General features: G+C 37.8%; 1 long non-coding RNA gene across 1 annotated transcript; it reads right to left on the bottom strand.

Annotated features, from left to right (window-relative positions):
• Positions 1–1898: 1898 nt before the first annotated feature.
• On the bottom strand, positions 1899–19851 carry LINC00327 (long intergenic non-protein coding RNA 327). Its single transcript, NR_038995.1, has 3 exons — positions 19172–19851; positions 18673–18849; positions 1899–3128 (listed from the first exon to the last, which is right to left on the bottom strand). It is a non-coding gene; the product is annotated as a long intergenic non-protein coding RNA 327 (long non-coding RNA).
• Between the last annotated feature and the right edge of the window lie 1354 nt (positions 19852–21205).

Here is a 21205-nt window from a genome sequence, read left to right as displayed (position 1 = left end):
TCGCTCTGACTGTTTTATTACCACCATTCACGTAGCATTTTATGTGAAAGGGAATGCTGGGCGCAGTGGCTTACGCCTGTAATCTCAGCACTTTGGGAGGCCGAGGTGGGTGGATCACCTGAGGTCAGGAGTTCAAGACTAGTCTGGCCAACATGTGGAAACCCTGTCCCTACCAAAAATAATAATAATAATAATAATAATAATAATAATAGTAATAAATTAGCCAGGCGTGGTGGCGGGAGCCTGTAATCCCAGCTACTGGGAGGCTGAGGCAGGAGAATTGCTTGAACTTGGGAGGTGGAGGTTGCTGTGAGCTGAGATTGCGCCACTGCACTCCAGCCTGGGCAACAGGGCACCACTCCGTCTCAAATAAATAAATAAATAAATAAGAAAAAAAGAAAGGGAATGCAGGTGTGAAAGCTTCCGATTCGTCACCTAGCAAAATTACACTGAAAAGTCCCCAAGCTCTTTGAACCAACTGCAAGGTCGTCAGCTTGTAGCCTCAAGTCCTCATGATCTATCCCATTACTTCATATCTCAAAAAGTCTTAATATGTGTTTTCCACAGTGATGGCCTCTCATTGGCCACCATGTCACTCTCACCTCAGGGTAAAGAGGTTGTGTCATGCGGCTTAAAACCTGGGCACATAGATGGTTACTTTGGCAGCGTTCTTATATAAACAGATGAAGACAGCTGATAACATTAGCAACTTCCTGTGTCATCTCGTTTTTCTCGGGCACTTGCTTCTCTGAGATTATTTATGTTTTCTGTATTAGTCCATGGCAACCGCTTAACACAGCTGCACCAAATGTCATTCCCAGAAAGATCAGTTGCTTAGTCTCCTTGCCTCCATTCTATTTTGGGAGTGGCATGGACTTTTGGCGATGCCCAGTTGAGCTCTTGTCCACATCAAGTTATGAGCGGTGGTTTGTAAGAGAGTTTGCCCCTTGGCCTTGGTCTTTAGGAGAAAAAATAAATTCTATTCATTTACTCACATGCCATCATTACTCATATTTAAATTCTAAAAGATTAAAAACAAGAAACATTTTTTTCTGCATTAAGAAATCTAAAGTTTTAAAAAATCTCTAATAATGAACTGAGGTAATACATGCATTGATAAACAAAATGGAAATAGTATAGAAAAACAGAACTGATAAACTGATAAAAACATAACTGATAAACAGCTGCCTCCATTTCACACTTCCTCACCCTAGCAACTCCTAGATCATCCCAGAAAACATTTCTACTTTTATTCCTGTTGGTTGCCTACAGAACTCTAAATAATATATTTTCACATCTCTTCTTTGACCTTTTTAAAAATTAGCCTTTTTTTTTTTTTGAGACAGAGTCTCATTCTGTCACCCAGGCTGGAGTGCAATGGCATGATCTCCGCTCACTGCAAGCTCTGCCTCCCGGGTTCACGCCATTCTCCTGCCTCAGCCTCCCAAGTAGCTGGGATTACAGGTGCCCGCCACCACACCCGGCTAATTTTTTGTATTTTTAGTAGAGACGGGGTTTCACCATGTTAGCCAGGATGGTCTTGATCTCCTGACCTTGTGATCCCCCCGCCTTGGCCTCCCAAAGTGCTGGGATTGCAGGCGTGAGCCACTGCGCCCAGCCTAAAAAATCAGCCTTTTTTTTAACACAGCTTTATTGATGGGTAATGTACATATCATAAAACTCACTAAATGTGTAATGAAATGAATTTTAGCAAAGTTACAGAGTTGTGCAAGCATCCCCACAGCCCAATTTTAGAACACACCTATCACTTCAGAAGATCCCTCTTGACCACTTGCAGTGATTTCACTCTTCAGTCCCAGCCACAGGAATTCCTAATTTCTTTACTGGTTCTATAGATTTGCCTATTGTAGACATTTCATAAAAATGGAAATAACCAATCAAATTCAGACAATATTTATTGACTTTCTGATACAAAAGATAAAGATTTATCTCGCTTATAGAACTGCCTTCCCTGTCTCTATTTTCCCCAATTTTTGGTAATTATATATTATTTTAAAAATTCCTATGTTGGCTTTTTTCTTTTTCAGACGGTCTCACTCTGTCACCCAGGCTAGGATGCAGTGGCGTGATCTCGGCTCACTGCAACCTCCGCCTCCCGGATTCAAGTGATTCTCCTGCCTCAGCCTCCCAAGTAGTTGGAACTACAGATGCACACCACTGCGCCCAGTCAATTTTTGTATTTTTAGTAGAGACGGGGTTTCACCATGTTGGCCAGGCTGGTCTTGAACTCCTGGCTTCAAGTGATCCGTCCGCCTCAGCCTCCCAAAGTGCTGGGATTACAGGCATGAGCCACCGCACCCAGCCTATGTTGGCTATTTTTGTCATTTTAAGCAATATATTCCTTCTATTTGTGTGCGTGTGTGTGTTGTTCCATAAGCCTCTGTCAACGTCTTTTGCCTCCCTTGCTCCATATAAAATGCCTTACATTCCTCCCTCTTTTCCCCTACCCTTATTCATGGAATAACTGTGAATCATTGTTAGGACTTTATTGTTATGAAAGCCAATAATCTTTTATCTTTTATTCTACAACTACAATTAAGTCTTACATGTCTGTAGGTTGATTCTAAAAGTAGAAAACTAGAGCAGCCTTTATGATTTTGTCTACATTGCTCAATGTAGAGCCAGGGCTGTGCCAGGATGCCATTTCCTTCCCTCCATGTCCTGTGCATCTGTCATGGTGCTCCTGGGGCGATGCTACTCACTTCATAGTTAAGCAGGCTCCCTTCCCACATCCTTCATCAAATGCTCCATGTCACAGTAAAATAAGGGTCACACGTGAGCCATTTCTTTATACCTTGTTTTAGATGATTTTTCCTCTAGTTTTAGATGATTTTTTTATCCTTCCTATTGGAAAAGGATAAAAAATCTTAGGAACTTCCATTGTGTCCTAAAATTTATCTGCCTTCCAATCACACTACCATGTGAAGTCCTTCTTCCCCAGAGTCCTTAATTGTTCTGAATTTAAGTGGATTTTCTCTGGGCTGAATGCACAAGCCTTCAGCCTGAGTCTTCTGTTCACTGGGTTCCTGGAGCCAGTGCTAATCTCCAAAATGTGTCCTTTCTTGGTTTCCATCTTCTTTGACTGGAGTATAACCTCCAGTAAACTCCTGGGGAGGGGAAGAAAGGTATGAGAGAGGTGAATTTCCAGTATCGCATCAAATGTATTATTTTCTCTTTCATCATTTATTGTTTGTCTACACCTATTATTGAACTTTCAAAATTGTTTTCCCTCTGAATTGGAGGGTATTGCTTCAATGTTTTCTAACATTTTGTGCTGCTGATAAGAAAACTCTGCTGCAGTCTAGCTCCTGCTCCTTAGCTGCTGGGCTGTTTTTTGCCTTTGTAAGATTTTTAGGATCTTCCATTTATTGTTAGTTACTGTTCTGAAGTTTCACAAAGATGCATTTCAGGCTTCTTTATTTTTATCCTGCTTGGAATTCAACCTCAAGACATAACATTTTTAGTTCTGAGAAAAGTTTTTAAAAAATGATTTTACAAAAATCACACACAGACGCACAGATGATTTCCCTTCATTTCACTGCTCTCTCTTTTAAAAACTCTTGCTGGTCTAATATTAGATATCCTGGATTACTTCTTTCTTGTAGTTTTTAAAAAATATTTTCCTATCTCACTCAGGAAATATACTTTTTCACCTTGTATAAGTTATTTTTTATCAATTTTAAAATAATTTCTTTGAAAGATTTTTTGGGGGGAAGCAATCATATTTTTCATTTCCAAACAATTTTTCTGTTCTCTGATCTCTTTTCAAGACATTCTGTCCTGGTTTTTATGTTTTAAATGAAAAATTACTTGAATCAGATAAATTATTTAAATTCTCCTTTGTCATCTCTAATGACTCAATTCAATTTTCTTTTAAAGAATTACTTTATGGGGGGCTGGGAGGTGGCTCATGCCTGTAATCCCAGCACTTTGGGAGGTCAAGGTGGGCGGATCACTTGAGGTCAGGAGTTTGAGACCAGCTTGGCCAACATGGCAAAACCCCATCTCTACTAAAAATACAAAAATTAGCTGGGCATGGTGGCAGGCACCTGTAATCTCAGCTACTCGGGAGGCTAAGGCCTGAGAATCACTTGAACCTGGGAGGTGGAGATTGCAGCGAGCGGAAATCACGCCATTGCACTCCAGCCTCGACAACAGACTGAGACTACGTCTCAAAAAAAAAAAATTCTCATCTGTTATCTGAATATTTTTCTTTTTCTGGTTTTTTTCTTTTTCTTCTCTTCAAGGTCACTTGCTCTGTTTACTTTCTTTTTTTTCTTTTCTTTTCCTTTCTTTTTTTTTTTTGAGATGGAGTCTCGCTCCCATCATGTAGGTGGAGTGCAGTGGCATAATCTTGGCTCACTGCAACCTCCACCTCCTGGGTTCAAGCGATTCTCCTGACTCAGCCTCCCAACTAGCTGGGATTATAGGCATGCGCCACCACACCCAGCTAATTTTTGTATTTTCAGTAGAGATTGGGTTTTGCCATGTTGGTCAGGCTAGTCTCGAACTCCTGACCTCAGGTGATCCACCTGCCTTGGCCTCCCAAAGTGCTGGGATTACAGAAGTGTGCCACTGCACCCTGCCTGACTTTTTTCTGAATTTGTTTGCTGATCCTTTCTTTTGTTTTTCAAGGTCTTAAAAACTTTTCTTTTGAGCTATTGACAGCTTTAACAATTTAGTACACTCCTGTGAACAAAATTTGGAACACATTTGTTTCTCTCTACCTGATTTCTCCAGAATTGTAAAGTACTTGCGAGTATTCTTAACTTACAGCAACACAGTTATTTGCATAAGTGCAATAAGAATCTGTTTTCATTTTAACAGGATGCAATTGGAGAAATTGGTTCTTTTACCAAGGCTTTGACTGGAATGGTGTGCTTTCCTTTAAGGAATCAAACTTGACTTATAGAGCCAATAAGACCTTGGAAAAATTAGCCTCATATTTTGTGTACACACTGTATAGGGTTTCTGACCCATGGTAAGTAAAGAATGTCACTTACTGACAGGCACAGAAGTCCCAGGTTTATCTTGAAACCCTGACAGCAGGAAATTTCACCCAACTCATGGGTATTTGATAGCACAATCCATGGCTGGGCTGGGCTTTAAGAAGTCTTATCTGAGATTCCTCTTATGGAACAAAGTTCCATCAAAGCCAATTTAAAAGCCTATGTAAAAATAATAATTATTTTTGCTGCACTGCATACAAATACTTAGGCCAAGTATAATAACCAAACCAGCCCTACCATGATTTATCTTTAGTAAAATGGGGAACTGGAGAGAGAAAAAAATTATTTCAAAATGATTATATATCTGTTGTTAGATTCTAGTCTTGCCTAATGTTTTTTTCCAATTTTTATTATTTTCTACAGTTTGGACCAAATTCTAATTTTTCTTGGCTACAAGTCTTCAAAATAATGTTTTCAATTTTTTTCCGTCTCTTTTTCATTTTTCCTAATTTGAAGTCACTGAAAACTAAGTTGTTCTTCTTTAAAACCCTGCAAGCTGGCCGGGCGCGGTGGCTCACGCCTGTAATCCCAGCACTTTGGGAGGCCGAGGCGGGTGGATCACGAGGTCAGGAGATCGAGACCATCCTGGCTAACAAGGTGAAACCCCGTCTCTACTAAAAATACAAAAAAATTAGCCGGGCGCGGTGGCAGGCGCCTGTAGTCCCAGCTACTCGGGAGGCTGAGGCAGGAGAATGGCGTGAACCCGGGAAGCGGAGCTTGCAGTGAGCCGAGATTGCGCCACTGCAGTCCGCAGTCCGGCCTGGGCGACAGAGCGAGACTCCGTCTCAAAAAAAAAAAAAAAAAAAAAAAAAAAAAAAACCCTGCAAGCTGAAGACAGACAACTTAAACTTCGGCAGAAAATAACAGTAACCTGTTTACATACATAAGGCACTTTCATGCCTGCCTACTAATGTATGGACTTCAGAGTAATGTGGCCCATATCAAATTTTTTTTTTGAGAAAGGGTATCTATCACTCTGTCACCCAGGCTGGAGTGCAGTGATGCGATCTTGGCTCACTGAAACCTCCGCCTCCTGGGTTCAAGCGATTCTCCTTCCTCAGCCTCAGAAATTTGAGACAGGTCTCAGTCTCAAATTTCTGAGGCTCACACTCCTATGCAAGGAAGGAAGGCAACATGTTTTCTAATGCCACATGAAATTAAAGCACAAAATGAAACTTGGATGCTTGAAAGAACAGACTTTCTGTAAGTTATTGTGACATGCTCCATAGTTTATTGACAGCAGAGTTGGTGATGATATTGATATTACACTGTCAAAATGTATCACCAAACATCTTTAAATTTGATAAAAGATTGTGAATTTTTGTTTTCTATCAGGAGAAGACAACATATAGGAAATTCATGGATCCAGAATCCATTTCTTTCATCAAAAGATAATTTAAACTTAACTATAATTTATGGATAAATTATTGAATCTGACTACTAATGAACAGTAGAAGATGAATTTAGAAATATAGTATCATTTACATTACTTTGAATGAAAGTTTAAAAATGAATATTCTGAGCTTAATAAAATGTTTTAAAAATCTCTTCTTCCACCTTATCAACATAATTCTGTGAGGCTAGTTTTGTACAGTGTAGATTATAAAAACACAACATTAAAATAGGTGACAGTAGTAAAAATGGCAGATTAAGAACATCCAAAATTTTGTTCCTTCGTAACAGTAATGAAAAAACTGGCAAAGAAAAGCAGAATCCATTTTTTCAACTCTCTTGGCATTAACCAAAGACTTTCAGCCATCCAGGGAGCATTTATTCAAGAAAAATATCTGAATCTTGGTAAGAACTGTAATCTTTACAACATTTGAAACTTACCTTAGGCCCATCTCCCACTCTTCAGCTCAGCAATAGCCTAGAAAAATAACAACTGCATTCCAGTATTAAAGGATCAGAACAGAGCTGGAGCTCATTCAAAGCCTCAGTCCCAAAGAACTGACATTGTTTGATCCATCCTTAGAAGGCTCCACTGAAAAGGTACATTTTTACTTGATGTGGTTTGAACTTGCCAAGTGTAAAAAGTCTCTCCCAGGGGTTAAGAGGCATTTATTGAAAATAATTTTAGGCACGTCTTTTAACTATCAGGCTGCATGAGATGGATGATAGTGCAAACAATAGACTAACCAAGAAGATTAAAGGGAAAAGCTGTGGAATAAGATGTCCATAGGAGCTTTGAAATGCTCTGACATATTCCTGAGAATTTGGAAGGTCAGGGGCATATGTAGGCCTGTGGGCATTCTGAAGAAAGAGCTGAGGAGGCCTGAGCTCTCACTTCTTGGTGACCTTAAGGTTCTGCACAAGCAGAAAGTAAAGGCTAAAACAGCATTGTGAACTGCCTGGTGGAGTGTTAAAGGTATGATCCAACATGTATATAGTAACCCATGGCAAAGATTTAGAGGTTTATTGGTTCCAGCATTTAAAGAAATCTCTGTTCAATCATTAGATGTCCAATCACTAAGCTAATTGATAACTCCCATGACCACATATAATAAACAATACATACTTTATAGAATTAGTTCAGAAAAGCCATGAAATAAATAAAAACAACATTTAAAAGCAAGGAGCAACAACACAATTCAGCAGGGAAGAATATGATTTTCAGACTTGTAATATTATATTTTTTTAAATGTCAAAATTTCAACATAAAATTGTGAGACATGCAAAGAAACATAAAATTATGTCCCATACACACACACGGAAAGCAATTGATAGAAGTTGGCCCTAAGAGGCCCAAATGTTGTGCTTACTAGACAGAGAGTAAAATTAGCTATTTAAACATATGTTCAAAGAGTTAAAGGAAACTATGTCTGAAGAACTGAAGCAAAGAATGATGTATTTGTCCATTTTCACAGTGCTATAAAGATACAACTTGAGACTGGGTAATTTACAAACAAAGGAGGTTTTATTGACTCACAATTCCACATGGCTGGGGAGGCCTCAGGAAACTTAGAATCATGGCAGAAGGGGAAGCAGGCACCTTCTTCACAGGGCAGCAGGAGAGTGAGGGAGAGACAGAGCAATGGAGGAACCATCACACACTTATAAAACCATCAGATCTCATGAGGACTTTCTCACTATCATGAGAACAGCATGGGGGGAACCGCCCCATGATCCAATCACCTCCCACAAGGTCCCTTCCTTGAAACTTGGGGATTACAATTCGAGATGTGATTTGGGTTGGGGCACAGAGCCAAACCATGTCAAAAGATAACTATGTTTAACCAAATAGAGAATAAAAATGGGTCAAAATTATTTAAAAAATAGTAATTCTGGAGTTGAAAGCTAGAATAAGTGAACTGAAAAATAAACCAGAGGCACCCAATAGCACATTTGATCAGGCAGGATAAAAATAATCAACAAACTTGAAGATAGGTCAGTTGAGATTATCCAGTCTGAGGAACAGAAAGAAAAAACAGGCAGAAAAATGATTAGAGACTTGTGGGACACTATTAAATATATCAACATATGCATAATGGAATCCCAAAAGGAGAGGTGAGAGAAAGTTTCAGAAAGATTACTTGATGAAATAATGGCCAAAGCTCCCTAAACTTGATGAAAAACACTAATATATACATTTAAAAAGATCAATAAACTCCAAGTATGACAAACTGAGAGAGATCCACACTGAGTCACATTATATTCAAACTGTTGAAAGCCACAGACAAAGAATCTTAAAAGCAGAGAGAGAGAAGGGACTTGACCTGTATAATGGATCCTCAATAAGATTAACAGTTTCTCATTAGAAAGCATGGAGGCCAGAAGGCAGTGGTATGGCATATTCAAAGCACTGAAAGAAAATAGCTGCCAACCAAGAATTCTATATCCACAAAACCATCTTTCAAAAATGAAAGAGAAATTAAGCCATTTCTAAACAAACAAAAGCTGAGAGGACTTGTCACTAGGATACCTATCCTACACGAAATACTAAAAGGAGCCCATTAGGCTGGACTTAAAGGAGAGTAAGCAGTAACTCAGGTCTACATGAAGAAATAAACGAAATAATAAAGATAAACTACATACAGATGAATATTAAAAATAAATAGTATAAGTGTATTTTTTGCTTGTAATTCATTTCCTTCTCCTATCTGTTTTAAGAGACAGCTGCATAAAGCAATAATTATAAATCCTTGTTGACAAGCATATAATGTATAAAGATGTAATTTGTGATGATAATGGCATACAGGAAGGGTAAAAAAAAGCTATATAGGAACAAAGTTTTGTAGACTATTGGAGTTAAATAATATCATTTGATTTAGATAACATTGTTATTAAGTAAGGTATTAGTGGTAATTGCCAAGGTAACCACTAAGAAAGAAAACTCAAAAATATAGTAAAAGAAATGAGAGAATTAAAATACTGTATAAGAAAATATCTATTTAACACAAAGGAAGCCAGTAATGGAGAAATGTAGAAACAAAAGAATAAAAAGGTAGAAAACAAACAGTAAAATGGCAGATGTTAATCCTAATTTATCATTAATTACATTAAATATAAATAAGCTACATATTCTAATAAAAAAGCAGAGATTGGAAAAAAGATATTTTTATTTAAAATTTTTTTCCTTCTTTCTTTTTTTTTTTTTAATAAAGCAGCTGTCTACAAGCTAGAAAGATGTTTTTAATGGCCCAACTATACACTGTCTACAAAAGACACACTTCAGATTCAAGGACATAAATAGATTGAATGATCAAGAACAGGAAAAGATACACTATGTAAACAATAATAAAAACAGAGATGGAGTTACTATAACTGATATGTGGTGAGATAGATTTTAAAACAAAAATTATTACTAAAGACAAAGAAGGGCATTTTATAATGAAAAAATGTTATTCAATAAGAATATATAATAATTATATGCATACATGTACCTAAAAGAACAGCTCCAAAATGCATGAACAGAAACTGACAAACTTGAAGAGAGAACTATTTCATGTATTTTAGAGCTTTTCTCTTAGGTAACAATAATAGTTGGATATATCATTACCTTACTTTCCATAGTTGATAGAACAACTAGACAGTATATCAGCAAGGAAACAGAAAACTTGAAAAACACTGTAAGTAAACTAAACCCCATGGATATCTATATCACTACCCTACAACAGAACAATACAAACTCTTTTTAAGTACTTTGGAGCAGTCTCCAGTATAGATGATATTTTACAGCATAAAACAAGTCTCAATAAAACTAAAAGGGTTGAAAACATAAAGTATATGTTCTCTGACCAAAATGGAATGAAACTAAACATCAGTAACTGAAAGAAATTTGGGAAATTCACAAATATGTCAACACACTTTAAATAAACAGTAAGTAAAACAATACATCAAAAGAAATTAAAGCATAATTTGGGATGAATGAAAATAAAAACACAATGTACCAAAATGTGCATGCAGTTAAAGCAGTGCCTAGAAGGGAAATGCACAGTTGTAAATGTGTACATTTAAAAAAAAGAGGGTTGGCCAGGCGCAGTGGCTCGTGCCTGTAATCCTAGCACTTTGGGAGGCCGAAGCGGGTGGATCACGAGGTCAGGAGATTGAGACCATCCTGGCTAACACGGTGAAACCCCGTCTCTACCAAAAATACAAAAAATTAGCTTGGCGTAGTGGTGGGCACCTGTAGTTCCAGCTCTTGGGAGGCTGAGGCAAGAGAATGGCGTGAACCCGGGAGGTGGAGCTTGCAGTGAGCCGAGATGGCGCCACTGCACTCCAGCCTGGGCGAAAGAGCAAGACTCTGTCTCAAAATAATAATAATTTTAAAAAACTAAAAAAAAAAAAAAAGGCTGGGCACAGTGGCTCACACCTGTAATCCCAGCACTTTGGGAGGCCAAGGCGGGTGGATCTCCTGAGGTCGGGAGTTCGAGACCAGCCTGACTAACGTGGAGAAACCCTGTCTCTACTAAAAATACAAAATTAGCCAGGTGTGGTGGCACATGCCTGTAATCCCAGCTACTCGGGAGGCTGAGGCAGGAGAATTGCTTGAACCAGGGAGGCAAAGGTTGCGGTGAGCCGAGATCCTGCCACTGCATTCCAGCGTGGGCAATAAGAGTGAAACTCCATCTCAAAAAAAAAAGAAAAAAAAAAAAGAAAGAAAGAAAGATCTTAAATCAATAACCTAACATTCAACCTTAAGACATGGGGCAAAGTAAACTAAGCCAAAGCAAGCAGAAGAAAGGAAATAATAAAGATAAGAGCAGAAATTAGCGAAAGACAAAAGAGAAATACAACAGAGAAGTTTAACAGAATAAAAAGTTGGTTGTTTGAAAAGAGGAACAAAATTGACAAAGTTTATCTAGATTCACCAAGAAAAAAGAGAGAAGACTCAAATTACTAAATTCGGAAATGAATGAGGGGACATTCCTATGAACCCTACAGAAATAAAAGGGATTATAAGGCAATACTGTGAGTAATTGTATGCTAAAAACATTAGATACCCTAGAAGAAACGGACAAATTCCTAGAAATACACAAACTACAAAGGCTTACTCAATAAGAAACAGAAGATCAGAGTAGATCTAGAATAACTAAAAGGATTAAATAAGTAATTGGAAAACTTCCCAAAGAAAATCTGAGGCCCAGATGGGTTCACTAGTGAAGTCTACCAAATGTTTAAAGAAGAAATAAAAGTAGGACAGGAGGAAATACTTTTTAACTTATTCTATGAGGCCAGTATTATCTTGATATCCAAACTAGGTAAATATAACAAAAGAAAACTGTAGACTAATATCTTTTATGAGTATAGATGTGAAAATCTTTTAACAAAATAACAGCAAACCAAACCAAGCAGTATATAAAAGCATTATTCATTATGACCAGATAGGATTTATCTCAGGAATGCCATGGTGCTTCAACAAACAAAATCAATCAATGTTATATACCACATTAATATAATGAAGAAAAAGAACCCCATATGATCACCTCAATTGACTCAGGAAAAGCATTTGACAAAATTACACCCTTTCATGATGAAAAATACTCAACAAACTGGGGATTGAAAGGAATGTTCTCATCCTGATAAAGGGCATCTATGAAAAATCCACAGTTGACATCATACTTAATGGTGAAAGACTGAAACAAAACACTGTACTGGAAGTTATACCCAGGGCAAGTAGACAAGAAAAAAAAAGGCATCCACAGTGGAAAGGAAAATGTAAACTATCTGTATGTGCAGATGACATAACTTACCTATAGAAAACCTAAAGAATCCATATTACAGCTAATGAGTGAGTTCAGCAAATATGTAGGATATAATACCAAAATTTACAAATCAATTGTATTACGCATTAGCAATGAACTGCCCAAAAATGAAACTGAGAAAATAATTCTATTTATAATAAAATCAAAAGGAATAAAATACTTAGGTATAATTTTAACAAAAGAAGTATAAGACTTGTTAATTGAAAACTACAAAATATTGTTAAATTACAGAAGACCTAAATAAATGTAAAGACATCCATGTTCATGGATCAAAATACTTAATATTGTTAAGATGGGAATACTCACCAAACTGATTTACAGTTGCAATGCAAATCACTATCAAAATCTCTGTTGATTCCTTTTTTTTTTTGCAGAAATTGACAGGCAGATACTAAAATTCATACAGAAATGCCAGAGATATAGAGTAGGCAAAATAAACTGAATAAAGAATAAAGTTGGTGAATTTACACTTCCCTATTTTTAAACTTGCTACAAAACTACAGTAATGAAGACAGAGTAGTACTGAAATAAGGATAAACATGTAGAACAATGAAATAGAATTGTGAGTTCAGAAATAAACCCATGCATGTATAGCCAATTGACTCTTTTGTTTGTTTTTTGTTTTCAGACGGAGTTTCACTCTTGTCACTGAGGCTGGAGTGTAATCGTGTGATCTCGGCTTACTGCAATCTCCACCTCCTAGGTTCAAGCAAGTCTTCCGCTTCAGACTGCCAAGTAGCTGGGATTACAGGTGCCCACCATCAGGCCCAGCTAATTTTTTTTTGTATTTTTAGTAGATACACAGTTTCACCATGTTGGCCAGGCTAGTCTCAAACTCTGGACCTCAGGATCTGCCCGCCTCAGCTTCCCAAAGTGCTAGGATTACAGGCATGAGCCACCGCACCTGGCCAGCTAATTGACTTTTGACAGGGGTGTGAAGATCATTCAATGAGAGAAAATAATCTTTTCTACAAATGGGTGGAGCAACTGAATATCCAAAGGTAAAAGAATAAATTTGGACCCCTAGCTCACACCATGTTAAAATATTTTAAAAATGGATAGTGTAGTGCCTGCTACTCTGGAGGCTGAGGTGGGAAAATCATTTGAGCCGAGGAGTTTGAGGTTGCCGTGAGCTGTAATTGCACTGCTATACTCCAGCCTGGGCAACAGAGCAAGACCCTGTATCTTGAAAGAAACAACAAAACACACATTTTAAAAAACCACTAAATTTAAAAAGAGCCCAAAGTATAAGACTCTTATATGAAAATGTGTGTAAATCTTCATCATTTAGGCATTAGTTTCCTAGATATGATCCCAAATGCCTAAGTAAACAAAGACAAAAATAGACAAATTGGATTTCATCAGCATCACAGCATCACAGTGCATTAAAGGACACTATCAAGAGACTGTCCTAAAGAAAAGAAAACCCACAGAATGAAATAAAATACCTGCAAACCATGTATCTCATAAGCATCTAGTATCTAGAATATATGAATGAAGCTCTCTGACAACTCAACAGTAAAAAACTCCATTAAAAAAGTGAGCAAATGATTCGAACAGACATTTCTCCAAAGAAGGCATACAAATGGCAACCAGGTATTTGAAAAGGTGCTCAACATCATTGATCATCAGAGAAATGCAAATCAAAACTACAATGAGATATCATTTCAGACACACTAGAATGACTATAATAATAATTTTTAAAAGGGAAATAATATTGGCAAGGATGTGGAAAAATTGGAACTCTAATAAATTGCTGGTGGGTATATAAAATGGTACAACCACTGTGGAAAACAGCTGGTTCCTAAAAAAGTTAAACATACAGTTCTCATATATAACCCAGCAATTCAATTCCTAGGGATATAGCCAAGAAAATGAAAATGTATGTTCACACAAAAGCTTACATTTTAATGTTCACAGTAGCATTATTCATAATAGCCAAAAAGTGGAAACAACTCAATTGTCCACTAACAGATGAATGAATAAATAAATTGTGGTCTATCCACACAAAGAAATACTATTCAGCCACAAAAAGGAATGAATTACTGACACATACAACAATGTGGATGAACCTTGAAAACACTATGCTGAGTAAAAGACGTCAGACAAAAAAGGCTACATGTTGTAGCCTTTTATTCCGTTTATATGAAATGTTCAGAATGGGCAAAACTATAAAGAAACAGAATAGATTAGGAAGTGTTCAGGGCTGATGGCCGGGAGACTGGGCAATGGCTGCCCAAGAGTATGAGATCTCCATTTGGGGTGATGAAAACATCCTGGAATTAGATAGTGCTTTTGGTTGCACAAATTGTGAATATGATACACTGAGAACCACTGAATTGTGCACTTTAATTTTTTTTTTTTTTGAGATGGAGGTTCTCTCGTGTTGCTCAGGCTGAAATGCAGTGGCACAATCTCAGGTCACTGCAACCTCCACCTCCCGGGTTCAAGCGATTCTCCTGCCTCAGCCTCCCAAATAGCTGAGATTACAGGCATGCACCACCTGCCCAGCTAATTCTGTATTTTTAGTAGAGACGGAGTTTCACCATGTTGGTCAGCCTGGTCTCAAACTTCTGACTTCAAGTGATCCACCCGCCTCGGCCTCCCAAAGTGCTAGGATTACAGGCGAGAGCCACTGTGCCCTGCCAATTGTTTGTACACTTTAAAATGATAATTTTATGATACGTAAATTGTATCTTAAAAAACAAGGGAAAAAATACGTAGAAACAGTTTAGACATGCATTATCTTCTGTGAATAGCATTGTCAACAATCCAACATAAATTAATTAAAAAACAAGAATCAGGCTCATTTTTTACAATAAAAGCTTTTGATATTTTTATACATGCTGTTTATTCAAAACTTATAGGTTTTCTATATGGGAAATTACAATTCCTTTCATAACCTTTTGTTTAGTTTCAATGGTAGAATGACACAAATATTTTAATGTAAAAATGATTGGCTACTTTAATTGCCTATACACACACTTTCAATAAGTATGTACCATTTTTGTAATTCTTGTCTTTTTTTCTATTTTAAATTTGTTCTGATAACATTGATTGAAATATAATATTTTGTCTAGGGGCCGGGCACGGTGGCTCATGCCTGTAATCCCAGCACTTTGGGAGGCTGAGGCGGGCAGATCACGAGGTCAGGAGATTGAGACCATCCTGGCTAACACGGTGAAACCCTGTCTCTACTAAAAATACAAAAAATTAGCCGGGCTTGGTGGAGGGCGCCTGTAGTCCCAGCTATTCAGGAGGCTGAGGCAGGAGAATGGCATGAATCTGGGAGGCAGAGCCTGCAGTGAGCTGAGATGGTGCCACTGCGCTCCAGCCTGGGTGACAGAACGAGACTCCATCTCAAAAAAAAAAAAAAGAAATATAATCTTTTGTCTCTTGAGTCTGGTAATAAAACATTTGGGCTTGTATTTTGTGTGCCTTTGCTTTTTAAATTTTATTTTTCTAGTAATTTATTTCTACTATATTTTAAAAAGTAACCTTCTGCAATGGATTTGAAATTTTAACACAAAAGCTGGTCCTTCACCACAGATGCTTTGCGAAGCACTTGTGTGGGGCACCTGGATGTGGACGGAGTACTCTGTAATAAATTATCTACAACAGAAGATTTACATCTTCCTAGGTAAATGTGTGAAATTCCTTCATTCTTTATCTTTTGTAACAGTGACAATGTTGACCTTCCAGATGCTCTGGAAGGGTGGGAAAGGGAGGGGTGACTGGCAGGGCTGTGACATAGTGGTGTACATATTCCATCATTCCCTTTGCTTCGCTCCTTCTCTTTCAGGTCTCCAATAGAGGAGGCTGGCTCCTTCTTACAGAGCCTCCAACAACGATTATATTCTGGGCTTCAGCATCCTTCGCTTGCCTGTACATTAGCTTTCTTATTTTATTTTATTTTATTTTATTTTATTTTATTTTATTTTTGAGACAGAGTATTGCTCTGTCATCCAGGCCGGAGTACAGTGGCGCGATCTCGACTCACTGCAACCTCCGCCTCCTGGGTTCAAGCAATTCTCCTGCCTCGGCCCCCCGAGTAGCTGGGACTACAGGCACACCCCATCACGCCCGGCTAATTTTTGTATTTTTAGTAGAGATGGGGTTTTACCACATTGGTCAGGCTGGTCTCGAACTCCTAACCTCAGGCGATCAACCCACCTTGGCCTCCCAAAGTGCTGGGATTATAGGCGTGAGCCACTGCGCCAAGCTTGTACATCAGCTTTTTGTCCTCTGGAAATGTGTTGAAATTTCTTGTCTACTGATACCCTTCCATGCTTTTTTTGTTGCATGAGTTTATTCCTCTTTGTATTTCTACGTTGTCATTTCATTGGGGTCTCAGGAGGGACACGAGGTAAACACATATGTTCAGTATGTCATCCTGAACTAGAATAGCCAGGTTTTGGTTATGGAAAATAATAATGCTGAATGTTTTTTGTCTAAGCATACATTTTCATTTCTCTGTGTAGATATTTAGAAGTGGATGTATTTAACTTACTGAGTCACTGACAAACTGTTTTCCAAAGCGACTGTATCTTTTCTACATTCTCACCAGCAATGTATAAGGATTCCAGTTCCTCTAAATCTTTACCAGAATTCAATATTTTCAGTTTTTCTGATTAGAGACATTCTAGTATGTGTGTCATAGTATCTCAGTATGGTTTTAGTTCGCATTTCTTTAAGCACTGATAATGTTGAGCAACTTTTCATATGCTTATCTGCTATCATAATATATTCTTTGGTGAATTATCTGTTCATATCTTTTGCTCAACATTTTGAATTGTCTTTTTTTAATGGAGTGATAAGAGTTCTCTATTCTGATGCAAGTCCTTTTTCAGACACATGATTTGCAAATATTTAGTCTTAGCTTGAGACTAAACTTCGCATTTTCTTTTTTCTTTTTTTTTTTGGAGACGGAGTCTCGCTCTGTTGCCCAGGCATTACAATAATAAATTTCCCAATATTAAACCATTCTTCAATTCCTAAAGTAAATTCTATTTAGCCTACTCTTTTAATATGTGGTTAAAATATTTTTATAATATTTTGTGATTTTACACCTATATTCATAAAAAGATCATAGCTTCGCGTCTTTTTAAAGGTTTTTATCTTTTGTTATTAAGATTGTTCTTGCTTCATAAAATGAACTCAATAATTGTCTTTGTTTTTTCTCTATGTTTTAGTACAGCCTGAATAGCCTATGAATGATGTATTATCACAGAATTTAAAGACATTTACTTCTAAAGCCCCTTAAGTCTAAAATCATGGTTCTCAAATCTAATTGCATATTAAAATCACCTGGAGAGCTTTAAAAACTCTCAATGCACAGGCCACACCCCTGATAAAAGAATTCAGAATCTCGGATGTAAGGATTTTTAAATGCAAAATAAAATGAAAGGCTCAATAGTTTATAAAGTTTGTGCTAGATCTAATCTTTTCTGGTTTTGTCTGTAATTGGTCCAATAGTAAATATTGATTCATCTGTAATTGTTCTGACATCAACTAATGGTGTCCATAGCAATAGCACTACAAGCCAGTTTCTCTGCCTTTATCTCGCTTTAATTGTACACAAAACTAATAAGGCAAAGCACGTAATATAATAACTATTTTAAAAGCAAATGAAACAAACTTTGGAAGGTTAAGTGGCAAAGCCGCTTGACTCCCATCACTTTGGCATTTCAATCAATAATAGAGTCTAAAGACCAAACAATAAAACAATGGTTAACATAGAAAAAAAGAAATACGAGTTCATTAACTAACCAGGAGATCTTATTTCCAAAGAGTAAATCTGATTACATTGTTCCTGTTTAAAACCCTTCAATGGCTTCCTTATGCCTAAAAGGAAAAAAAAAATCCAAATTCCTTTGTGTGGCATAAGAGGTTCTTTGTGTAACACAAGATCTGGCCCCTCATCACCTCTCCAGTCGTATTTCTCAAAAGACCTCTCTTGCTTCCTATACTCAGTCATGCAAAATGTTCTGCAATTCTCTGAATGCCCTGGCTTTTCTTTTCCTTTTTGTGCCCATGTCTGTGCCCAAGTTATTTGCTTTTTCTGAAAGATCTATCTTTCAAAACCTTCTTTTCCCTCCCTCCCTCCAACCCTGTTGACCAACTTATCTTTTAAAGTCTGATTCAGTTTCAGGGCCATCTCCTCCGAGACCTTCCTTCCTGACTGCTTCTCGAGTTCCCCTATAAAACAGTGACTGCCCAAAGAGCAGCAACAGTTTGTAAATCATTCCATTCATGCTGCCTAGAACAAAGCTGCAGTTGTGTTTAGTAAAGGTTTATCAAATGGATGAAGACTGGTCACTATTAGTCTTGACCCCTTCTATTTGAAATATGTGAAATACACAAAGTAAAATATAATTTCTGATAGGGGCTGATATCAGGAACTGTAGGAGATCTGTCCATTGAACCCAAGGTCTTACCTATTAAATCTCTACTGTTGCCAGTCTGCGCTCCTGGATTTTCAAGGGGCTCCGTGGAATTGGGAGGCTGATGAAGCTGGTGACCACCCTCCGTAAGCATGCTGTGTTGGTGATTCCAGTGCTTACTCCTTTCCTCAAATGTGGTCATAAGAAGTCAGGAAAGTCAATATGCTTTCACTAGGAAAAAAGGAGGAAAGCCTGCTTTAGTTGGTTGTTACATTTTTGATGAGGCGAAAATTCAAACAAAACTGTAACCACAAGGACCATTAATTGTTCTTTCCTGCTAATAACCATAGTTAGCCAATTGGATTGTGAGTGTGTGGCATGCTTGTATTGTGTATGTGAGTAGGGAATGCACGTGCGTTAAAGTTCACATGTGCTTAAGAGCTTAGACACACCCGCAATTTGCAAGACAGCTTCATGTCCTGATGTGGCCAAAGCTGTGTAAGAAGCCTGAGCTGTAATTACTCCGCACAAATTTACATCCTGGGGTACTCACATCATCCTGTGGTCTGTATGCTCTGTGGCTACACACCTGGCTGAGAACAGAATTAATGATGAGAAACGTGCCTGCTTCTCTGCATAAAAGATGATGTCTGAGTAGAAGGTCGCCAAGGGAGGATTAAGAGCAAGAATGCGAGAATGTGCTCAGGAATCCGTGCGTGAGATGATGAGCTTGTGAGCTGATGTTGATTCTGTGCAGTTCCCAGTGTCTTATTCACAGGCAAGATTTTCTTGCTCATCGTTCAGCCTTCAATGTTTTAAGCAAAGATTTTTAAAAAGATCTAACAGGAAACGAGGAGCTGCAGTGAAGCTTGGGCAGTCAGTTCGAATCTGAATAAATATTTGTCAGATTGGAGAAGCGCTGAAAGCATTAAGATACTTGGAGATTTCTCTTTTTCTTTGGCAAGAAGCATGACTGAGACAGGTAAGGGCTAGGAATTCTTCCGGATCACTCCCTCCAACAATGGTCTTTCCTTTGAATTTGCACTTTGGAGTCTGACACAGATTAGTGCTTCCTAGTCCTCTAACTGTAACACATGCCTCAGTTTCCCTTCTCCGATAAGATTGCAATATCTTTGGGTGCAGGAAAAAAAATAGTTGATCCTTTTCTTTGTAGCCCAGCAAGTTCCAGGCACATTAGAAACTGATTAGAAACTGGTACACAAGTGTTACTTGCTTAATTTATTATAAATGCTTTAAAAATGAGGCAATGACTATCATTGAAAAATAAAACCAAACTGTGAAGAACTTCTCTCTTCCTGTTAGTGGAGACTTTCCACAGAATTTTTTTTTTTTTTTGGGAGGCAGTGGACATGTTGAGTTTTCAATTGAATATTTTGCTGCAAACAACTTAGGAGGAGAGGAAAAAAGAAAACGCAAAGCCAAACAAAGCTGGTATTTTTCAAGTGCTCATTAATTTCAAAACCACGGTGTCTTTCATTGATTTTTTACCATTAAAAAGGACAGCAATGCCCATCTGCTCAAAATTCCATCCAGAAATGAAATTATGAATTAAAGCTGTGTTACACATGCACAATTGAGACATCCTCTGTTTGGGCCTGCCAGATGACACACTGAAACAGCCTGGGGTCTGCACTTGGGGTGCTGCCAAGGAAGCAGATACACGGCTGATGAAAATCATCCATCATTTCAAATCAGAGGTGCCATATTCCTGCAGACTCCTGTTATGAACAATCTCATTTGATCTTACATTGGAACAAGCTGTCTTCAACACTCAGGCCTGGCCCCAGGCACAACGAGGCAGATGGAATAGGAATCTCTCATTCCATGCCTGCATTTGCCGGAATTCTAGGATTTTGTCAGAAGTTTTCTTGTGTGAACCTAGCCTGACAGGATTAACTTCACTGAGTTGTGCTTCAATATCAGTTCTTACCTCCTTCAATTTGTGCCAAAACTCTCATGGAGGACAGTGTTCATCATTTTTTCACTTAAAACCATATATATGAGTCATTATATAGAGCGATTCTTTTTAGATTCAGTTTCCGGGAAAAAAATTAAAAAGTCACATGATCTTTCTGTCTGCTAATGATATTATGCACGTTGCTCTTGTCTCTATTTTTGCCTTGGCCTCCAGGAAGCTCACAGCCACGTTTTACACTCAAATACAGAAATAATATTACCATATGCTAGTATTACCGTATTTGTGATACTCTTTTCTGTTGATCCTTAGTTTCCATTTCCATTCTTCTTTTATTAAGCCTAACACGTTTTTTGTTGTAAGCTATATCAAAATCATTTTGGAGAAAGGCCAGGCTTATATAAATGATAAAGCATAACCATCTTTTATTTCCCAGCCAAGTGGTTTGTGTTTTAGAGTATATACTTTTAGAAGAAACAGATTGTTTCTTTAAACAGATGAAAATCAAATATCTTCCTTCTTCATGAAGTTAACCACGGTTAGATCATCCACATTGATACAGATGCCTGATAAAAGATCAGGATTGCGTTTGACAACCAGGTTTCTCTTACACATTCTCAGCAGCTTTCAGTCTCTGAAGTTTTTAGTCTT

The sequence above is a fragment of the Homo sapiens genome, chromosome 13 (assembly GCF_000001405.40).
Source record: "Homo sapiens chromosome 13, GRCh38.p14 Primary Assembly".
Lineage (NCBI taxonomy): Eukaryota > Metazoa > Chordata > Mammalia > Primates > Hominidae > Homo > Homo sapiens.
This window is presented reverse-complemented; position numbering and strand designations above follow the sequence as displayed.